General features: G+C 46.0%; 1 protein-coding gene and 1 long non-coding RNA gene across 7 annotated transcripts in view; one reads left to right on the top strand and one right to left on the bottom strand.

The window, feature by feature from the left end:
• Positions 1-16,728, bottom strand: part of LCMT1 (leucine carboxyl methyltransferase 1) — a 66,487-nt gene that overhangs the window by 20,964 nt on the left and 28,795 nt on the right. For 4 of the 6 annotated variants that reach the window (XM_011545864.2, NM_016309.3, XM_047434197.1 and 1 more), the window contains one exon: positions 5,650-5,711. The exons of the other annotated variants lie outside the window; for them this stretch is intronic. In XM_011545864.2, the coding sequence (XP_011544166.1) occupies positions 5,650-5,711 (62 nt within the window). The remainder of the gene's footprint in view (positions 1-5,649; positions 5,712-16,728) is intronic. 6 annotated transcript variants of the gene reach the window in all.
• Positions 8,233-16,694, top strand: LCMT1-AS2 (LCMT1 antisense RNA 2). The gene is made up of 3 exons (NR_039998.1): positions 8,233-8,559; positions 9,026-11,017; positions 16,407-16,694. It is a non-coding gene; the product is annotated as an LCMT1 antisense RNA 2 (long non-coding RNA).

The following is a 16,728-nucleotide window of genomic DNA, read 5'->3' as shown; positions in this document are numbered from 1 at the left end:
TCTTAAACACTTTTAAGAGGTGATTAGGTCATGAGGTGAAAAGGCATGAGAAAACTGAAGACTTACACAATGTAACACAGTAGTTAAACACATACACACACACACACACACACAAGTGCTGGTGTATCATATGACTAATAATCTCTTCCATCACCGCCAGGTGCATTTCGAGAGATGTGTTGGATCTGTAGTGAACCCCATCAATCCCATTCATGGTATCTTCTATGACAAACTAATTATCATTGTTGATAAGCATTGCAAAGTGACCTTTTAGGTTCACAGATTTTCCTAGGATCCTTCAATTAAAAAAAAAAAAAAAAAAAAGGTAAAATGGAGACAGCCTCAGGCAGATTTCCGGACTGTACAGAGGATTAGTTTGTCTGACCACCCAACTGACACTCATGGGGCACTGAGCCAAGTCCTGGGAATAACTGATGAACAAGAAGACATGGTCCCTGCCCTCATGGGGCTTAAAATCCAGTGGGAAAGAGAGAGAACAAGGGCAAGTGTGGTAAGTTCTACAGAGAAGTTCAGGGTATTGTGGGGCATGTGAAACAGGCTTCTGACTCCCTTTAGAATGGAGTCCAAAATTCTCAGCCGGCTTTATGATCTTTCTCAATCTTGAAGCACGCACCTCCTGCCACCCGAGCCCCAGCCACACTGGCCTTCCCAGCTCTTCCTTCAGTGTGCCCTGGCTGAGATCATCTGTTCCCTAGGTAGTAGGGTCTCCTCCTCACGGCCCAACTGAAATCCTGTTCACATTCTGAAGTGCTTTCACTTGCTGTTCTTTTCTCTTTCTGCCTAATTTCACCAGAGTTGAAGCGGATTACAAAAACACAAACACATTCATCCATTCAAGCAGTCACGTGAGTATTCATTCAACACTGTCTGTGCACTAGGCACTGCTCTTGGTGCAGAGATTACAGTGGTAAACAAGACAGAAGCAGTCCCTGTTCTCAGGAAGCTTACATGGCAGAAGAGGGAGAAAGTGAATCATTAAATAAATGAGTAATCAAGAATATATCAAGGAGCAGTCAGTACCATGAGGAAACTGAAAGAGAAGAGTGTGACATAAGGCGGCAGGAAGGGGGTCTGTCTTTAACCTCGTAGTCAGGGAGGGCCCCTCTGAGGAAGCGGCAGCTGAGCAGATGAGAAGGAGCCCATCAAGCAAAGAGGAGAGAGGAAATGAAAAGGACTGAGGGGAAGAACATTCTTGGCACAGTCAGAGAACAGTAAGATATCTGTGTGGCTAGATCATAGTTACTGTGGTCAAAGGGAAAATCAGGAGCAGGTGCGGGGGCTCACGCCCTTAATCCCAACACTGAGAGGTCGAGGCGGGAGGATTGTTTGACCCCAGGAGTTTGAGACCAACCTGAGCAACATAGCGAGACCCTGTCTCTCCCCAAAAAATTTAAAATCATCTGTGTGTGGCAGCACACAGCTGTAGTCCCAGCTACTCGGGAGACTGTGGCAGGAGGATCACTGGAGCCCAGGAGTTCAAGGCTGCAGTGAGCTGTGACCAATTGCACCACTGTCCTCCAGCCTGAGCAACAACAGAGTGAGACCTTGTCTCAAAAAAAAAAAAAAAGAAAGAAAGAAAGAAAAGAAAGTAAAATCAGGAGGCACGCAGAGGCCTAATGAACAACATGGGTCCTATCCGATAGGGAGTTTTAAGCAAGGAGGTAACAGAACCCAATTTCCCTTTTTCACTCTTTTGAGAGAAAGGGTCATGCTCTGTCACCCAGAATGAAGTGCTGTGGTGCAATCACAGCTCTCTGTAGCCTACAACTCCTGGGCTAAAGGTATCCTCCTGTCTCAGCCTCCCAAGTAGCTAGGACTATAGGCGTGCACCACCATGCCCAGCTAGTTTTTTTTTTATGTTTTTGTGACAGGGTCTCACTAGGTGCCCTCAGCAATGCTCCCACCTCAGCCTTGTGAAGCACTGGGATTACAGGTGTGAGACACCACACCCGGCCTTCCTTTTTAAAAACACCTTCTGACTTTTCATTGTGTGCCCATTTGTACACTTTTGATTTTTTACCCTAGGCAGACTTTAGCTTAAAAAAAAACATCATCAATTCTAAGATGCATCCTTTCACATTTTAACATTCCTGAAATCAGGATGCATCTAACAGTTGGTGATGTGTCAGCTTAAGTGTCGGCACTTTTTCTTTCTTACTGATAAAGAAATAATGGTGATTCTCACTGTCAACAGCCTTGTAGGTTTGATAAAACAAGGTCATTTTTAAACAAATATTTTTTGTCAGTTTTAAGATCACGTATCAGTTCGCCCAAATTTTCATTCACATTTTTATTTCATTTTTATTCAAATTCTCCTTTCTCAGCACAATCAAAAACTATAAAGAACCAGAGTAAAAAATTCACCGATGAGACACAAAGTTAAAAGATAAGTAAAAGAATGAGAAAAAAGTTCAATAAAAAAAAGTTGACAACAGACCTTTATCAAAGAACACATCTGGCCGGGTGCAGTGGCTCACACCTATAATCCCGCACTTTGGGAGGCCGAGGCCGGTGGATCACGAGGTCAGGAGATCGAGACCATCCTGGCTAACACAGTGAAACCCCGTCTCTACTAAAAATACAAAAAAAATTAGCCGGGCGTGGTGGCGGGCACCTGTAGTCCCAGCTACTTGGGAGGCTGAGGCAGGAGAATGGCATGAACCCAGGAGGCGGAGCTTGCAGTGAGCTGAGATCGCGCCACTGCACTCCAGCCTGGGTGACAGAGCAAGACTCTCAAAAAAAAAAAAAAAAAAAGAACACATCCATGTGTTATGAAGCGTTCCTATAAACTGAAAAGGAAAGAAACTACAAACTAATGGAAAAAGGAAATAAAAAAATTTACAAGAGGTCCCAAAGTCCAATAAAACGAAGGAAAGATGCTCCATCTCACTAGCATTCAAAGTTACATAATTTTTTTTAAATAATAGGGCATCAGCCAGGCCCAGTGGCTCACGCCTGTAATCCCAGCACTTTGGGAGGCCGAGGCAGAGGATCACGAGGTTAGCAGTTCGAGACCAGCCTGACCAACATGCTGAAACCCTGTCTCTACTAAAAATACAAAAAAAAATTAGCCAGGCGTGGTGGCGCGTGCCTGTAATTCCAGCTGTTTGGGAGACTGAGGCAGGAGAATCGCTTGAACCCAGGAGGCAGAGGTTGCAGTGAGCAGAGATTGAGCCACCACACTCCAGCCTGGGTGACAGAGGGAGACTCCATCTCAAAAAATAAAATAAAATAAAAATAATAGGGCATCATTTTGGCCTACCAGACTGGTAGAAATTTTTTCTTTTGGATAGACTCTCATCTCATGCTGTCACTCAGTCTGGAGTGCAGCGGCATGATCTCGGCTCACTGCAACCTCCGCCTCCCAGGTTCAAGAGAGTCTCCTGCCTTAGCTTCCCAAATAGCTGGGATTACAGGCGCCAGCCACCACACCCAGCTAATTTTTGTATTTTTAGTAGAGACGGGGTTTCATCATGTTGGCCAGGCTGGTCTCGAACCCCTGACCTCAGGTGATCCACCCGCCTCGGCCTCCCAAAATGCTGGGATTACAGGCGTGAGCCACCACACCTGGCCAGACTGGTAGAAAATTTTTTAAATCACAATATACCCAGTGTTAGGGTGTTATGGTTTGAATGTGTCCCTCCGAAGTTCGTTGTGTTGGAAATTTAATCCCCCATGCAACAGTGTTGAAAGGTAGGACCTTTAAGAGGTGATTCAGTCCCAATGAATGAATTAATGCCACTTGCTTGGGATTGGGATTGGGATTGGGAGTGTGTTCTGAGTCTGCACCCCTTCACCTCTCTCTCACACAGTCATGCTCTCTTGCCTTTCTACCTTCCTCCATGGGATGACACGGCAAGAAGGCCCTTGCCAGATGTGGGCCCCTCAACCTCAAACTTCTCAGCTTCCAGAACTGTACTAAGTCTCTGTTCTTTTTATAAAGTACCCAGTCCCAGGTATTCTGTTATAGAAGCACAAAACAAGCTAAACCAGAAAACTGGTACTGAGAAGCTGAGAAGAAGGGCTGTGGCTGTTAAGTACCTGAAAATGTGGAAGCAGATTTGGAACTGGGTAATGGGTAGAGGTTGGAAGAATCTGGAGGAGTGGGCTAGAAAAAGCCTAGACTCCTTGCCACCCCCGCCTCAGAGAACACTTTCCCTCCTCTCATGTCCCTGCTTGTTGTAATAAACCTGGCTCATCTAGTCACCTGATGCCCACGGTGTTACCTGTGCTGACTACTGGTGAAGGCTGTCCTCTCTGCACGATCTCTGACCTGAATTACTAATAAACCCCTTTAACTTCTCTCAGACAAAAACTGAAAACAAAGGAAGACTGTGGTAGAGACTGACCCATAATTTGAAAGGCTCAGAAATGAGAAAAGCATTGTTAAGACACAGTCATAATTAAAAGTTGAGGGAAAAAACGGAGAAAATTGACTGCCAGGGCCAAACAGGTAGCAGAATTGAGTGAAGCAGATCAAGTGTAAGATACCAGAGAGTCGTGGGGACAGAACTGGAGGATGGGCAACTCCTCTAACTGAGGCAGCCACTATTTAATTGTTCCCATGTAGAAATCGTGGTAATATTACATGGCCTAATGTTACCACGTCTTCTAGTTTTTTCCAAGAAAAGCTAGAAATCGAGATTTTTCATGAGAAGTCTATTTTTGAAATGTTGGCAACTAACTCAAGGTCTTTACAGAATGACTGAAGATTAGAGACCTAAGGACATCTAAAAAGACTCATTTAGAAAGTCGTTGAAAATTCCTTCATGGTAACCCCAAGTTTAAATGTATCGGCAAAAGTCTACTATAGACTAAAAATAAAATTCTAAGCTCCCCAGCCACCTGAACCAAGGGGACCCCAGAGTGACCTTGAAAACTGAGTTCTTGGCCACGTCAGGATGGGAGGTCAGATGCCTTCTCAAAACCCTTGCTCACTAACTGCCTGTAGGCGTTCTTCCCTAAGGGCTAAACAGCAACCAGCCCTTTCAAAAGACTACTGCTGCTGTCATCCAACCCAACTGCCTGACTGCTGCCCCTCTCTTTGGCCACTTTGAAATGGTCAACCAGCATTCCTTCCTGATGAGACCACAGAACAGGGAGTGGTTCTGGCCAGTCTCCGAAAGATGTGGGTTTTTGTGTCCTCTGCTTCACCTTTTGATGTCAGAGGGCCAAAACCTCCACCCTTGGATCATGCTAACACTGCCATTTTTTTATACATGGGACCTATGATGGGATGTGAAGCTCAACTGCACACATACACAGTTCGCCCTTCATAAATATTCATGATGACTCCTATAGCTTATTAAATATGTATGTTCACCCACCTGGCTGAGCATAAATTCCTCCTCCTTTTGCCCCTCCTTCAAAGTGTCTGTTGTTGACTTCTAGCAGGAGGCTGTGCTTCCCAGCCTGTTAGAATGGCCACCCTGCAGGCTCAACCCTGTCTGAGAAAGCAAGCTCTCCTTTCCTAATTTATGAACCTCGTCATTCTTCAGTTGACAATACATTGTATAACACCACACACACACACACACACACACACACCCAACACAAACCCCATCTTCAAAAAGGGGGTGGGAAGCAAAAATACTGATACAGTCCATTTTGCATTAGCTTGATACTTGCCCATCTGAAGTGTGTCCTCTGAATGCAGTTCTAGAATGGGGCTGGATAGGGGAGGCTTGCATCTATGGGAAGATGGGAAAGAGGAGAAAAATGAGTCTATTTGCTCCTCAATTTACTCATGAGCTCATTTACTGCACAAATGCAGACACTCACTACCAAAATGGCAAATATATATTTGCTATTGTTCAAAGCAGGGGCCCCTCTAAAAAGGGCTTCAGTTTAATTACTTTTGACCCTAAGCACATACGGTAAAACTTCAGTGGACACAGGTCTCAGGTGACATTGGCTAAGCATTACACTCAGCATTTGATGTCCAAATCACAAACTGATCATGAAGTATTTAGACTTAGAAATAGCTAAAGATAACCTAACAAGAATTTTTCAAATGTTCCAATGTTTTTTTGGGCCATCTCTAGTTTGCTGCCTATTCTCAATCAAACTTTTAAAGATACTTGTTATTTGTAACAGGTAGCCAGAAGAATTGACTCTTACACAAACTTGAAGTTCAGTAACATTTATGTGGGAACTACCCCAATCCAGAATAGGCAAAAAATCAGAAATCAGACACGCGTCAATATCCCAACAACCATAATCAAACACCAACACACTTTCTGTCCCCGGAAACCATCTCTGGACTTAACCTAGAGCCAGTTACTCTTATTCCACTCAGAGTTCTAACCAGCCAGTACTTTGCAGTTCCCAGAGCATCAGAATTGCCATTTATCACTTAAAAAGCATATTTAATATAAAATTAAATATATCAGGAAAGGGTGATCCATTATTTTCATGGATCTAGAAAAAATAAAGCTTGAAAATTATTTCCACTTTATAAGGATCAGACTTTTCTAAAGGACAGCTGAAACACTTAATGTTTACTCACATTTTTTTCAATATAAGAATTAGGGTTTTATTTAAATGACTAATTTAAAAGGGGGGATGGGGAGGGACTGTAGTTAAAACTATTAAGATGCGGGCCAGGCACAGTGGCTCACGCCTGTAATCCCAGCACTTTGAGAGGCCAAGGCAGGCAGATCACCTGAGGTCGGGAGTTCAAGACCAGCCCGACCAAAATGGAGAAAACCCGTCTCTACTAAAAATACAAAATTAGCCAGGCATGGTGGCACATGTCTGGAATCCCAGCTACTTGGGAGGCTGAGGCAGGAGAATCGCTTGCACCTAGGAGGCGGAGGTTGCGGTGAGCTGAGATCGTGCCATTGCACTCCAGCCTGGGCAACAAGAGCAAAACTCCGTCTCAAAAAAAAAAAAAAAAAAAAAAAAAAAACCAGAAAACTATGAAGATGCCTTGATCTTGAGCTTGAAGTCACAGTTTGAATCTCAGCTCCACCCTTTCCTAGATAAAAGACTTTGGGCAAATTAACTTCTTTAAGCCTCAGTTTCCTTATCTGCAAAAAGGGGATAACAGCAGCACTTAATTCATGAGTGTGCTGTAAGGACTGAATGAAAACAATCCAAGTGAAGCACTTAACATGGTACTAGGCTATGAAAGCTCTCAGCACACATTAGCAAACCTGTCATCTGCAACTCTGTAAACTCCTTGATACTAGACTCGGAATGGCCCCCATAATATGTCATCTATAATAACTAACTTCAGTCTTCCATTCATTCATTCATATACACAAAAACCCACTTACTGCACATCTATTCTGGACCAGGTAACCTACTTTTTTTTTTTTTTTTTTTTTTTGAGACAGTCTTGCTCTGTCACCCAGGCTGGACTGCAGTGGTGTGATCATAGCTCACTGCAGCCTCGACCTCCTGGGCTCAAGTGATCCTTCTATCTCAGCCTCCCAAGTAGCTGAGACTATAGATGCACCCAACATGCCTAGCTAATTTTTGTATTTTTAGTAGAGACGAGGTTTCACCATGTTGCCTGGGCTGGTCTCGAACTCCTGGGCTCAAGCAATCCACCAGCCTTGGCCTTCCAAAGTGCTGGGATTACAGGCATAAGCCACTGTGCCTGGGCAAGGCCAGGTAACTTTCTACATGCCCTCGGAATAAAGTAGTAAACAAAAGACATAAAAATTCAGATTATGAAAATATGGGGTCACTTTTTAAATGTTCCAGGCAACTACATTAATGGATGGAGAGTCATAATGAAAAAGAACAGGAATGGGATACGGCTCCTTCTTCATGTTTAACCAGACCTTCTACTTAAAGAATCCCAGGAACTAGCCTTAGGAAATCTAAATATCAAACCAAGGTGGTGGAGTGTCTCATCCCAGGAAGGAACACTGAACAACTGATTTACAGCAGGGGTGTCCAATCTTTTGGCTTCCCTGGACCACACTGAAGAACTGTCTTGGGCCACACAAAATACACTAACAATAGCTGATGAGCTTTAAAAAAAATAAGTCACAAAAGAATCTCATGTTTTAAGAAATGTTACGAATTTGTGTTGGGCCACATTCAAAGCAGTCCTGGGCTGCATGTCGCCCCGCCCGCAGGCCTGGGGTTGAACAAGCTTGATTACAGCCTTGTTGCCTCTGGCCAGCCCACCAGGTGGTCCATTAACCAAGATAACCATCAGCCACTAGATATGCTGACCCGCATTCCCTACCCCTCACATGCTTTGCCCAGCTCAGCCTACATGCCCTCTCCCGATGTCAGTTACCAGGCTTTGCTAATAAAACGTCTCTCCCGGCTCTTCCAGAGAGCCAGCCGCAGAGTCTCTGCCGTCTCCCCGTGCGCTCAAGCACAAGCCCCCAACTAAAAGCCTTGTCTGGAAAATCTGCTTGGTGCCATAACAGATTATCTGGTGAGCCAGGTAGGAGCACAAGGAGTAATTTCCCTCCCTGCAGGGGAGGCTTGTGAGCCTGCGAGCCGGAGGGAGGCCCCACTGATTCAGCGCTGCCACCGCGACTGGCGAGTTTTCCTCTAGTCTCGCGACTGGTAAGTTTTCCTCTGGTCTCTGCAAGACTCCTCACCACTCCTGCCCCAGACAATGTTTTCCCTTCCCTCGCGTCCCCTATTTGTTGTCTTTTTCCTTCTTCCTTTCTGCTTTCCTTCCTTCACTTTTAACTTCATTGGCTCGAACTGAACAGACACCCGTGCAGGACGGACTGACACGGCTGGAAGGAACTACTGGGTGCCCTGGCTTCAGACCCAATAGTTGACAATCTTCAAGTCTTTCAGTGCTTTCCCTCCCTTTGCCACACCTGTTGGGAAGGGAAGCCTGTGAGCTTTTCTCTGTCTGTTCAGTGTTTGAGCCTACGGACTCTGGGTGCTGCCTTTATGCGGGGAGAATTGACGGCACATGGGGCTGGAGTTTGCCTAGCTCATGCCCTGATCTGTTTTTCCTTTTTGTATGTTTAATTCAACATCTTATTGACTGTCATTCGGTTACTACCAAATGCAGGACACTGGTCAGTAGAACCTGGACCTGCTGTAAGGCTGAAGAAGAAAAAGAAACCATCCAAGCTGGCACTCGGTTTTGGGGAGTTCTCTTCACTGCTCACGCCGGCCCTCTTGTGTGACCTGTACTGTTGTGCTGTGTGGGGCTGGGAGCCAACTCTCTTTTCGTCGCCTGACACCTGTGCTTGCACCCTGCCCCTGGTCCTTTAATAAGACAAGCAGACACAGGGGCTACAGTCATGGGCAATGCCCCAGGCATCTTCCAAGACTCACACCTGGGATGTATCATTTCTAAATGGAAGGAATCCAAATCAGATGGTTTAAAGAAAAAGAAACTCCAGCCTGGGAAACATAGGAAGACTCCACCTCTACAAAAAACAGGAAAAATGAGCCGGGTGTGGGGGTGCCTTCCTGGGGTCTCAGCTACTCAGAAGGCTAAAGTGAGGATCGCTTAAGTCCAGGAGGTTGAGGCTGCAGTGAGTTGTGGTAATACCATAGCACTCCAACCTGGGCAATGGAGTGAGACCCTGCCTCAAAATCAAATTTTTTTTTTAATTAAAAAAAAAGAAACTGATTTTCCTCTGTAATACAACCTGCCCTAGTACACATTAGATCAAGAAAAATGGCCATGGGCAGAAGTGGATCTCCTAGTTTTAACACTATCTTACCGCCCGACCTATTCTGTGAATGGACAGAGAAATGGGGAGAGATACCTAGCTACAAGCTTTTATGAAGTTATGCTAGGACCCAGAGCTACTGGATTCTTGTCAGGTGTGTGTGGCCCCTATTTCCAGGTTCCTCCTGAAGGAACCTGAAGAAGCGGACCTCCACAGCCTCAGGCCCCGAGCACTCCCTCCCTACCCTAAGCAGGCCTCCTGGGGAGGGGAGCCCCTGTGCTGTCCCCAACAGCGCTCCAATCGGACTCCAAACAGGCACCCTCTTTTGCTTCCCCACTGGCCCAGGGCTGTTTTCCCCTCAGAGAAATGGATGGAAACGGGGGAGTGACAAGGATCCAAGTTCCTTTTTTTGGTGGTGGATCTAGGACTATGTAAAAAACACTTTGGTAGATTTTCAGAGGATCCTGGTAAGTTTAGAGATGAATTTGTTAAACTAAATCTTGCCTTTTCATTGACGTGGCAGGATGTTATGGTCACTTTGCAGTACTGATGAAAAGCAACACATATTTGGAAAGGCTAAGGAATATGCCAATAGCCAGGTGGTCACTAAAGACCAATATGCAGTCATCTGTTTAGGGGGAGATGCGGTCCCAGGCATAGTCTCCACGTGAGTGAGACTATGGAGAAAACCTAGAAAAAGCTAGAATGAGCCACTTTGTCACCTGCCTGACTGAAGGAAGAAGGAAATGTATAGTAAAACCTGTACACTATGACAGGGTCAAGAAAATTACCCAGAGAAAGAAGGAGATCCCAGTAGTCTTCCTCAATCGAGTCCCTGAGGCCCTTGGGAAATGCACCCATGCAGACCCAGAGGCAGCAGAGGGGAAGCATCGCGTGCCATGCATTTTATCCTTCAGTCAGCTCCGGACATTAGAAGGAAATTACAGAAAATTTGGAGGCCAGACCCCAGACCCTGCTGTTGACTTTGGCAGAGGCGGCTTTTAAGGTTTTCAATAACGGACAGGACACAGATGGCAGGTAAGAAGAGGAGACTGACCAAGACAGCACAGCTTCTGGCTGCCCTAATTCATCCACCATCTCAGGGTGACCCTAGGATTCTCAGGAGACCAACTAATCGAAGACAGCCAACCTTGGATGGAGCCAATGTGCCTACTGCAGGATGGAGGGGGTCACTGGAAGAGAGGCTGCCCTGACCTCCTTAAAACAGGACAGCCGGCAGGCAACCCTGGCCAGCCGCCACTCCTCACCAAGCTTTCAGATGAGATTGATACACACCGCCTGACAGCACCCTGGCTCTGACTGCAGCACACTCCATCGTCATCACACCACGGAGCCTCAGGTCACCCTTGATGTGGCAGGTAGGAAAACAGTTCCTCGTGGACAGCAGAGCTGCCTGCTCGGTCCTGACCCAGCCTATTTGCCTCCTCTCCAATTGCAATTGCAGGGTAATGGGAATAGACAGGTGTCCTAAGGTAAGAAAATTTACTTTCCCTCTTGCTTGTGAGGCCATGTCTAGGCTTTTTTCTCCTCATTTCTGTATGCCCCCCGGAATGTCCTACTCCATTGCTGGGTAGAGACTTATTAAGCAAAATGGGAGCCACCATCTCCCTGGAAGAGGACAGACTGCAGGTAGAGGCAGAGCCAGAACAGGGAATCCACCTGCTAGCACTCTTAAATGGACAGGAACTTGAGACCCAAAACATACCCAAAGAAAGCAAGGATCACATCACCCCTTCCCTATCGGACACTTCAGTCCTAGGACAGGCTAATAAAGTTCCGCCAGTAAAGACAGACCTGAAGCCTGGGATGGGCTATCCATGGAGGAAATCATACCTCCTAAAACCTGTGGCACTGAATGGGGTTCAGCCATTACTCCACAAATTCCTATAGCAAGGGCTAAACCCTGCCAGTCCCCAGGCAACACCTCGGTCCTCCCTGTTAAAAAGCCTAATGGAGAATATCAGTTTGTGTAGGACTTGAAGGGGGTTAATGAGGCAGTCATTCCCATCCACCCAACACTGGTCCCAAGCTTGTCTGTGCTCAGATACCTGGAGATGCTCAGTTTTTCACTCTACTACACTTCAAGGATGCTTTCTTTTGTGTAGCCCTCTCCACCCAGAATCCCTGTATCTTTTTGCTTTGAATGGAGAAATCTCTGATACCCAGAAAGCCACATAGTACACATGGACTGTGCTTCCCCAGGGCTTCTGGGAAGGCCCCCACCTTTTTGGGAATGCAGGGAGCTAAGCCTACAGAATGGGACTTTTATTACAATATGTGGATGACTTGTTCATTGTCAGCCAAACATGGCAGGATTCAGATTTTAATATCATTAAAACCTTGAATTTCCTGGCTGAGCGGTGATACAAGGTCAGCCCCATCCAAGGCCCAGATTTCTTTACAGAAGTTCCGATATCTGGGGTTCATTCTGACCCCAGGAGCCCGAACACTAGTTGTGGACTGGAAAAAGCAATCACTTCATTGCTGGTCCCACAAACAAAAAGGCAGCCCCAGGGTTTCTTGGGAATGGTGGGCTTCTGTAGTATTTGGATTCCAAATTATGGCCTGACGGCTAAACCCCTATGTGAGACCCAAAAGGGGGAAGAAAGAGAGCCCTTGTACTGGGAGAAGAAATGTCAACAATCTTTTGAACCTCTAAAAACTGAGCTGGGTCAAGCCCTTGTCCTTGGACTCCCTGAGAAAAACCACTTACCTTGTATGTTTGTGAGAGACTAGGAATAGCTTTGGGAGTCTTAACTCAAAGGTTAGGACCTGTTCAGAAGCCAGTGGCTCATTTTTCGAAACAGACAAATCCAGTTGCACAGAAGCGGCCTGGCTGCTGGAGGGCAGTGGCAGCCACTGCCCTGCTGTTTAGTGAAGCATCTAAGCTGACACAGGGACAATATACAGAAGCTATGACTCCCCACCAGGTTCAGACTGGGTTAGAAGTCAAGGGACACCATTGGCTCACTGCAGGGAGGCTGACCAACTACCAAGCTCTCTTATTAGACACCCTGGATATTACTTTAAGGGTATGTCAGACTTTGAACACAGCAACCTCACTCCCAACCACAGATGATGAGGACTCACAGCATCAATGCACAGGGCCCACAAAACAGACTCCAGCAGGCCTAGCTTGTGAGATAAGCCTCTTGAGAATGCAAAGACGGAATGATATCCTGATGGCAGTAGCTTTGTGGAGGGAGACCCAAAAGGCAGGACATGCAGTAGTAAGCCTGAAGGAGACTACAGAAACTAAAGCCCTTCCTCCCCAAAATGGCACAAAAAGCAGCACTAGAGGCCTTAACAGAGCCTCACAACTGGGAGAAAGGGAGGGAGTAAATTTATACACCAACTCAAAGTATAGGTTTCTCCTGCTGTGTGCCCATGCAGCCATATGGAAGGAAAAGGGAATGTTAACAGTTAAAAATTCCCCAGGCAAACGTAAGGATCCAATCCAACTTCTCCTGGAAGCGGCACAACTTCCCTGCCAGGTGGCAGTCATTCACTGCAAAGGCCACCAGAGGGACTGGTCCCTCATCAGCCAAGGAAATAGGGCCACAAAACAGGCAACCTGGTTATAGGAATCCAGCAATGTGTTGGCCTTAATGACAGACCCTACCAACCTTCCTAATCACCTACAATACTCACAACAAGAGCAAGAGGAAGCTAAGGGGCAGGGGTACCAGGAAAACAGTGCTGGATGGTTCACAGATGGTGACAAGTTTTATTCCAGGAACTGACCAGTTGAAAGTTACTAAGCATCTCCATGATGCCACTCATTAATGGAGACATGTTTTATGGAATTCTGTCCATAAAATATTCACCAGAAAGAAACTAAGAAAAAGTGTAAAACAAGTAACCTTTGTCAGTGAATTGTGTTCCCGAAATAATCCCCACACCCATCCAATTCCCCCTTCTTGACTTAAACTGGTTCAACACAGGGGAACTTATCTGGGAGAAGACTGGCAGGTTGTTTTAACCCAAATGACTCCAAATCTAGGGTACAAATATCTCCTGGTGTTTGTGGATACTTTTACTGGACGGGTCAAGGGTTTCCCTACCTGTACAGAAAAAGCAGTAGAAGTCTGTAAACCTTCACTAAAGGAAGTAATTTCTCAATTTGGACTCCCCAAGTCCCCTCAGAGTGGTAACAGGCTCTCCTTCATGGGTAAGATTACTCAGAGCCTCTCCACAACCTTAGGAATAGATTATGAACTGGCACCCCAATCATCAGGGAAAGTTAAGATGAACCATACACTTGAGACGACTCTAGCCAAACTCTTTCAGGAGACGCACGAGTCCTGGGTTAAGATGCTCCCAGTCTTCTCAGGGTCCGCAGGGCCCCTTCGTGCAGCCTAAGACTTAGTTCTTCTCAGATGATCTACCAGAGGCCTTTCCTCACCACTGACCTCCTGTTAGGTGAAGAATTACATAAAAAATTACAGTATCGATTTAGGACAGATTCAAAAGGTGACTTCAGAATATGGAAACAAAATCCTGCCAGTCCCCACTAAGGATGGGAAAACCCCTTTACAAGTTAATCCAGGGGACCAAGTCCTCCTAAAGGCTTGAAGGGCAGGCTCCCCGGAGGACCACCCCTTGCTTAAATGGGAGGGCCCTTACTGGGTGATCCTGACCACTCCAACTGCAGCCAACTCACAAGGAATCACTAGCTGGGTACACCTCTCCCGATCAGAAATGCTTTCTCCTAAATGTTTCCAGACTCGCCCAGATGGCCCATTTTACTCCTGAAAACCTGTGGAAGACCTCAAATTCAGGAGAGCCAATTCATCATCGGAGAAGTAATGTGGTTAGAGATCTTGAGTCCAATACTTTTCCTTGTATTACTAATTGGTTTACTATTATTCTGTTGCTTTGCTCAGCCTCCTCCCTCAGGTAAAGACTTCGTTTGTCCCTGCTGGGTATAAAGATGCTACTCTTTACTTTGTTCCTACTCCTCCCCATCAGGGCACAGGGTAGGCTAGGCCTACTAAAATGAGAAACAAACTCTCTTGACAACCTTTCCGGCATTATAGCTTCAGGTAATAATTTGTCCAACTGCTGGGTGTGCTACCATCATCCCCAGGCTCAGAGGGGCTGCCTCTTGCACTCCCTAAAAGCTCAACTACCAACTTCACAAAAGAGGTATGGAAACCTAAAATAACCTCTGCACCTCTTATGGTGGACCTAAGTGTCTCCCTTTCCTTTGAATGTATAAACCTCATTGGGCTGCTAAATGCTTTGGTCACCAAAAAGGGTGGAAAAAAGAGAAGTTGGACTGCCTACTTTGAAATCCCACCGGGTTTTCTCTTAGCAGTAAAGAAAAACCCTAATCAAACTTGGGCTCAGGAAGGCTATCTTTTCCCCCATGCCAAAACAGTCATACCTCTCTCCACAGCTTAGCTGCTCACCTGAACTCCTCTCGCCTTGTGTAAGTTTGTGCACCCATGGGGTATTCTGTTCCTTTGTGGACACCCAGACTGCCATCTGATCAACAGCTACCCTTCAGCCAATTTCACCTCTCTGTTACTTGCACTAGCGTGCCCTTGTGTGGATAATGTACAACGCAATAAGGAATGCATGTTAGGTACTTTAAGTCCCAGTAGAATAACAGTTCATAATATCACACATGTGGTGAAATCTAAAAAGGCAATAGGGCTAATTTTGGCAGGAGTTGGAATAGCCCCTTGGGATGGCTTTGCATACTGTCAGACAGCTTTGAGAAACTTTCAAACCCTTGAAACACTGGCAACTAGTACAGGCAGAGCCATAAAAGGACATCAAGCCTCCCTGCACTCCCTAGCCAATGCTGTCTTGGATAACAGATTTGCCCTGGAATATCTTCTGGCTGAACAAGGGCGGGTATGCACAGTAATAAACCACATCTGTTGTTCTTACATTAACAGTTCAGGATTGGCTAAACTGCAAGTTCAAAAGATTTACCAAGACCAGGCACAATGGTTCATGCCTGTAATCCCAGCACTTTGGGAGGCCAAGGTGGGTGGATCGTTTGAGCCTAAGAGTTTGAGACCAGCCTGGGCAACATGGCTAAACCCCATCTCTACAAAATTACAAAAAAAGAAAAAAAAATTAGGTGGCCTTGGTGGCATGTGCCTTTATTCCCAGCTACTCAGGAGGCTGAGGTGGGAGGATTGCCTGAGCCCAGAAGGTTGAGGCTGCAGTAAGCCATGATGGCACCACTGCACTCCTACCTGGATGACAGAGTGAGACCCTGTCTCCAAAAGAAAATAAAAGTAAAGATTCACCAAGAGGCTACCTGGCTACATAATCGTAATGACTCTACTGCTCAAACCATCTGGGGCTCCATCAGTGGATACCTACAAAGTATGACATGGTTTTTACCTTTCTTCGGACCCTAAGTGGTCATTTAATTGCTATTACTTTTGGCGTATTGTGTTTTTAACCTTTTGGTAAAGTTTGTGTCTTTCAGGTTTCAATAGCTCCAAGTCAAGCTAATGATGGCCCAAGAATTCCAACCCATAACATCCCAGGAGCACCCCAGTCCCTACAGGTCTTTAGGACAGCCAGTGAGAGATTTCCCCACCCCCTAAAGTTAGGCAGGGACGACATCCCTGTTCAGCAGGAAGTCGCTTCAGAAGATGAGATCTTCAGCCCTTTCTCCTTAAGAATAGAGGGTGAAATCTCTCAGGGGGAAATAGAGATAGAACAGAAATGGAATGGGGTTGCTTCTTCATAATACTTAACCATGCCTTCTACTTAAAGTTCTAGGAACTGGCCTTAGGAAATCTAACTATGAAACCAAGGTTATGGAGTATCCCACCTCAGGAAGGAACACTGAACAACTGATTGACAGTCTTCTTGCCGCCAGCCAGACCACCAAGTGGCCCATTAACCAAGAGAACCAGCGCAACCAGATACGCTGACCCGCATCTCCTACCTCTCATGTGCTTTGCCCAGCCCAGCCTGCATACCTTACTCATGATGTCAATTCCCAAGTTTCGCTAATAAAAACATCTCTGCAAGCCTCTTCAGGGAGCCAACAAGACAGTCCTTGTGCCTCTGCTGTCTCCCTAGTACTTGAGTA

The sequence above is a fragment of the Homo sapiens genome, chromosome 16 (genome assembly GCF_000001405.40).
Source record: "Homo sapiens chromosome 16, GRCh38.p14 Primary Assembly".
Lineage (NCBI taxonomy): Eukaryota > Metazoa > Chordata > Mammalia > Primates > Hominidae > Homo > Homo sapiens.
Note: the sequence above shows the minus strand (reverse complement) of the source record. Positions and strands in the feature narration are given on the sequence as shown.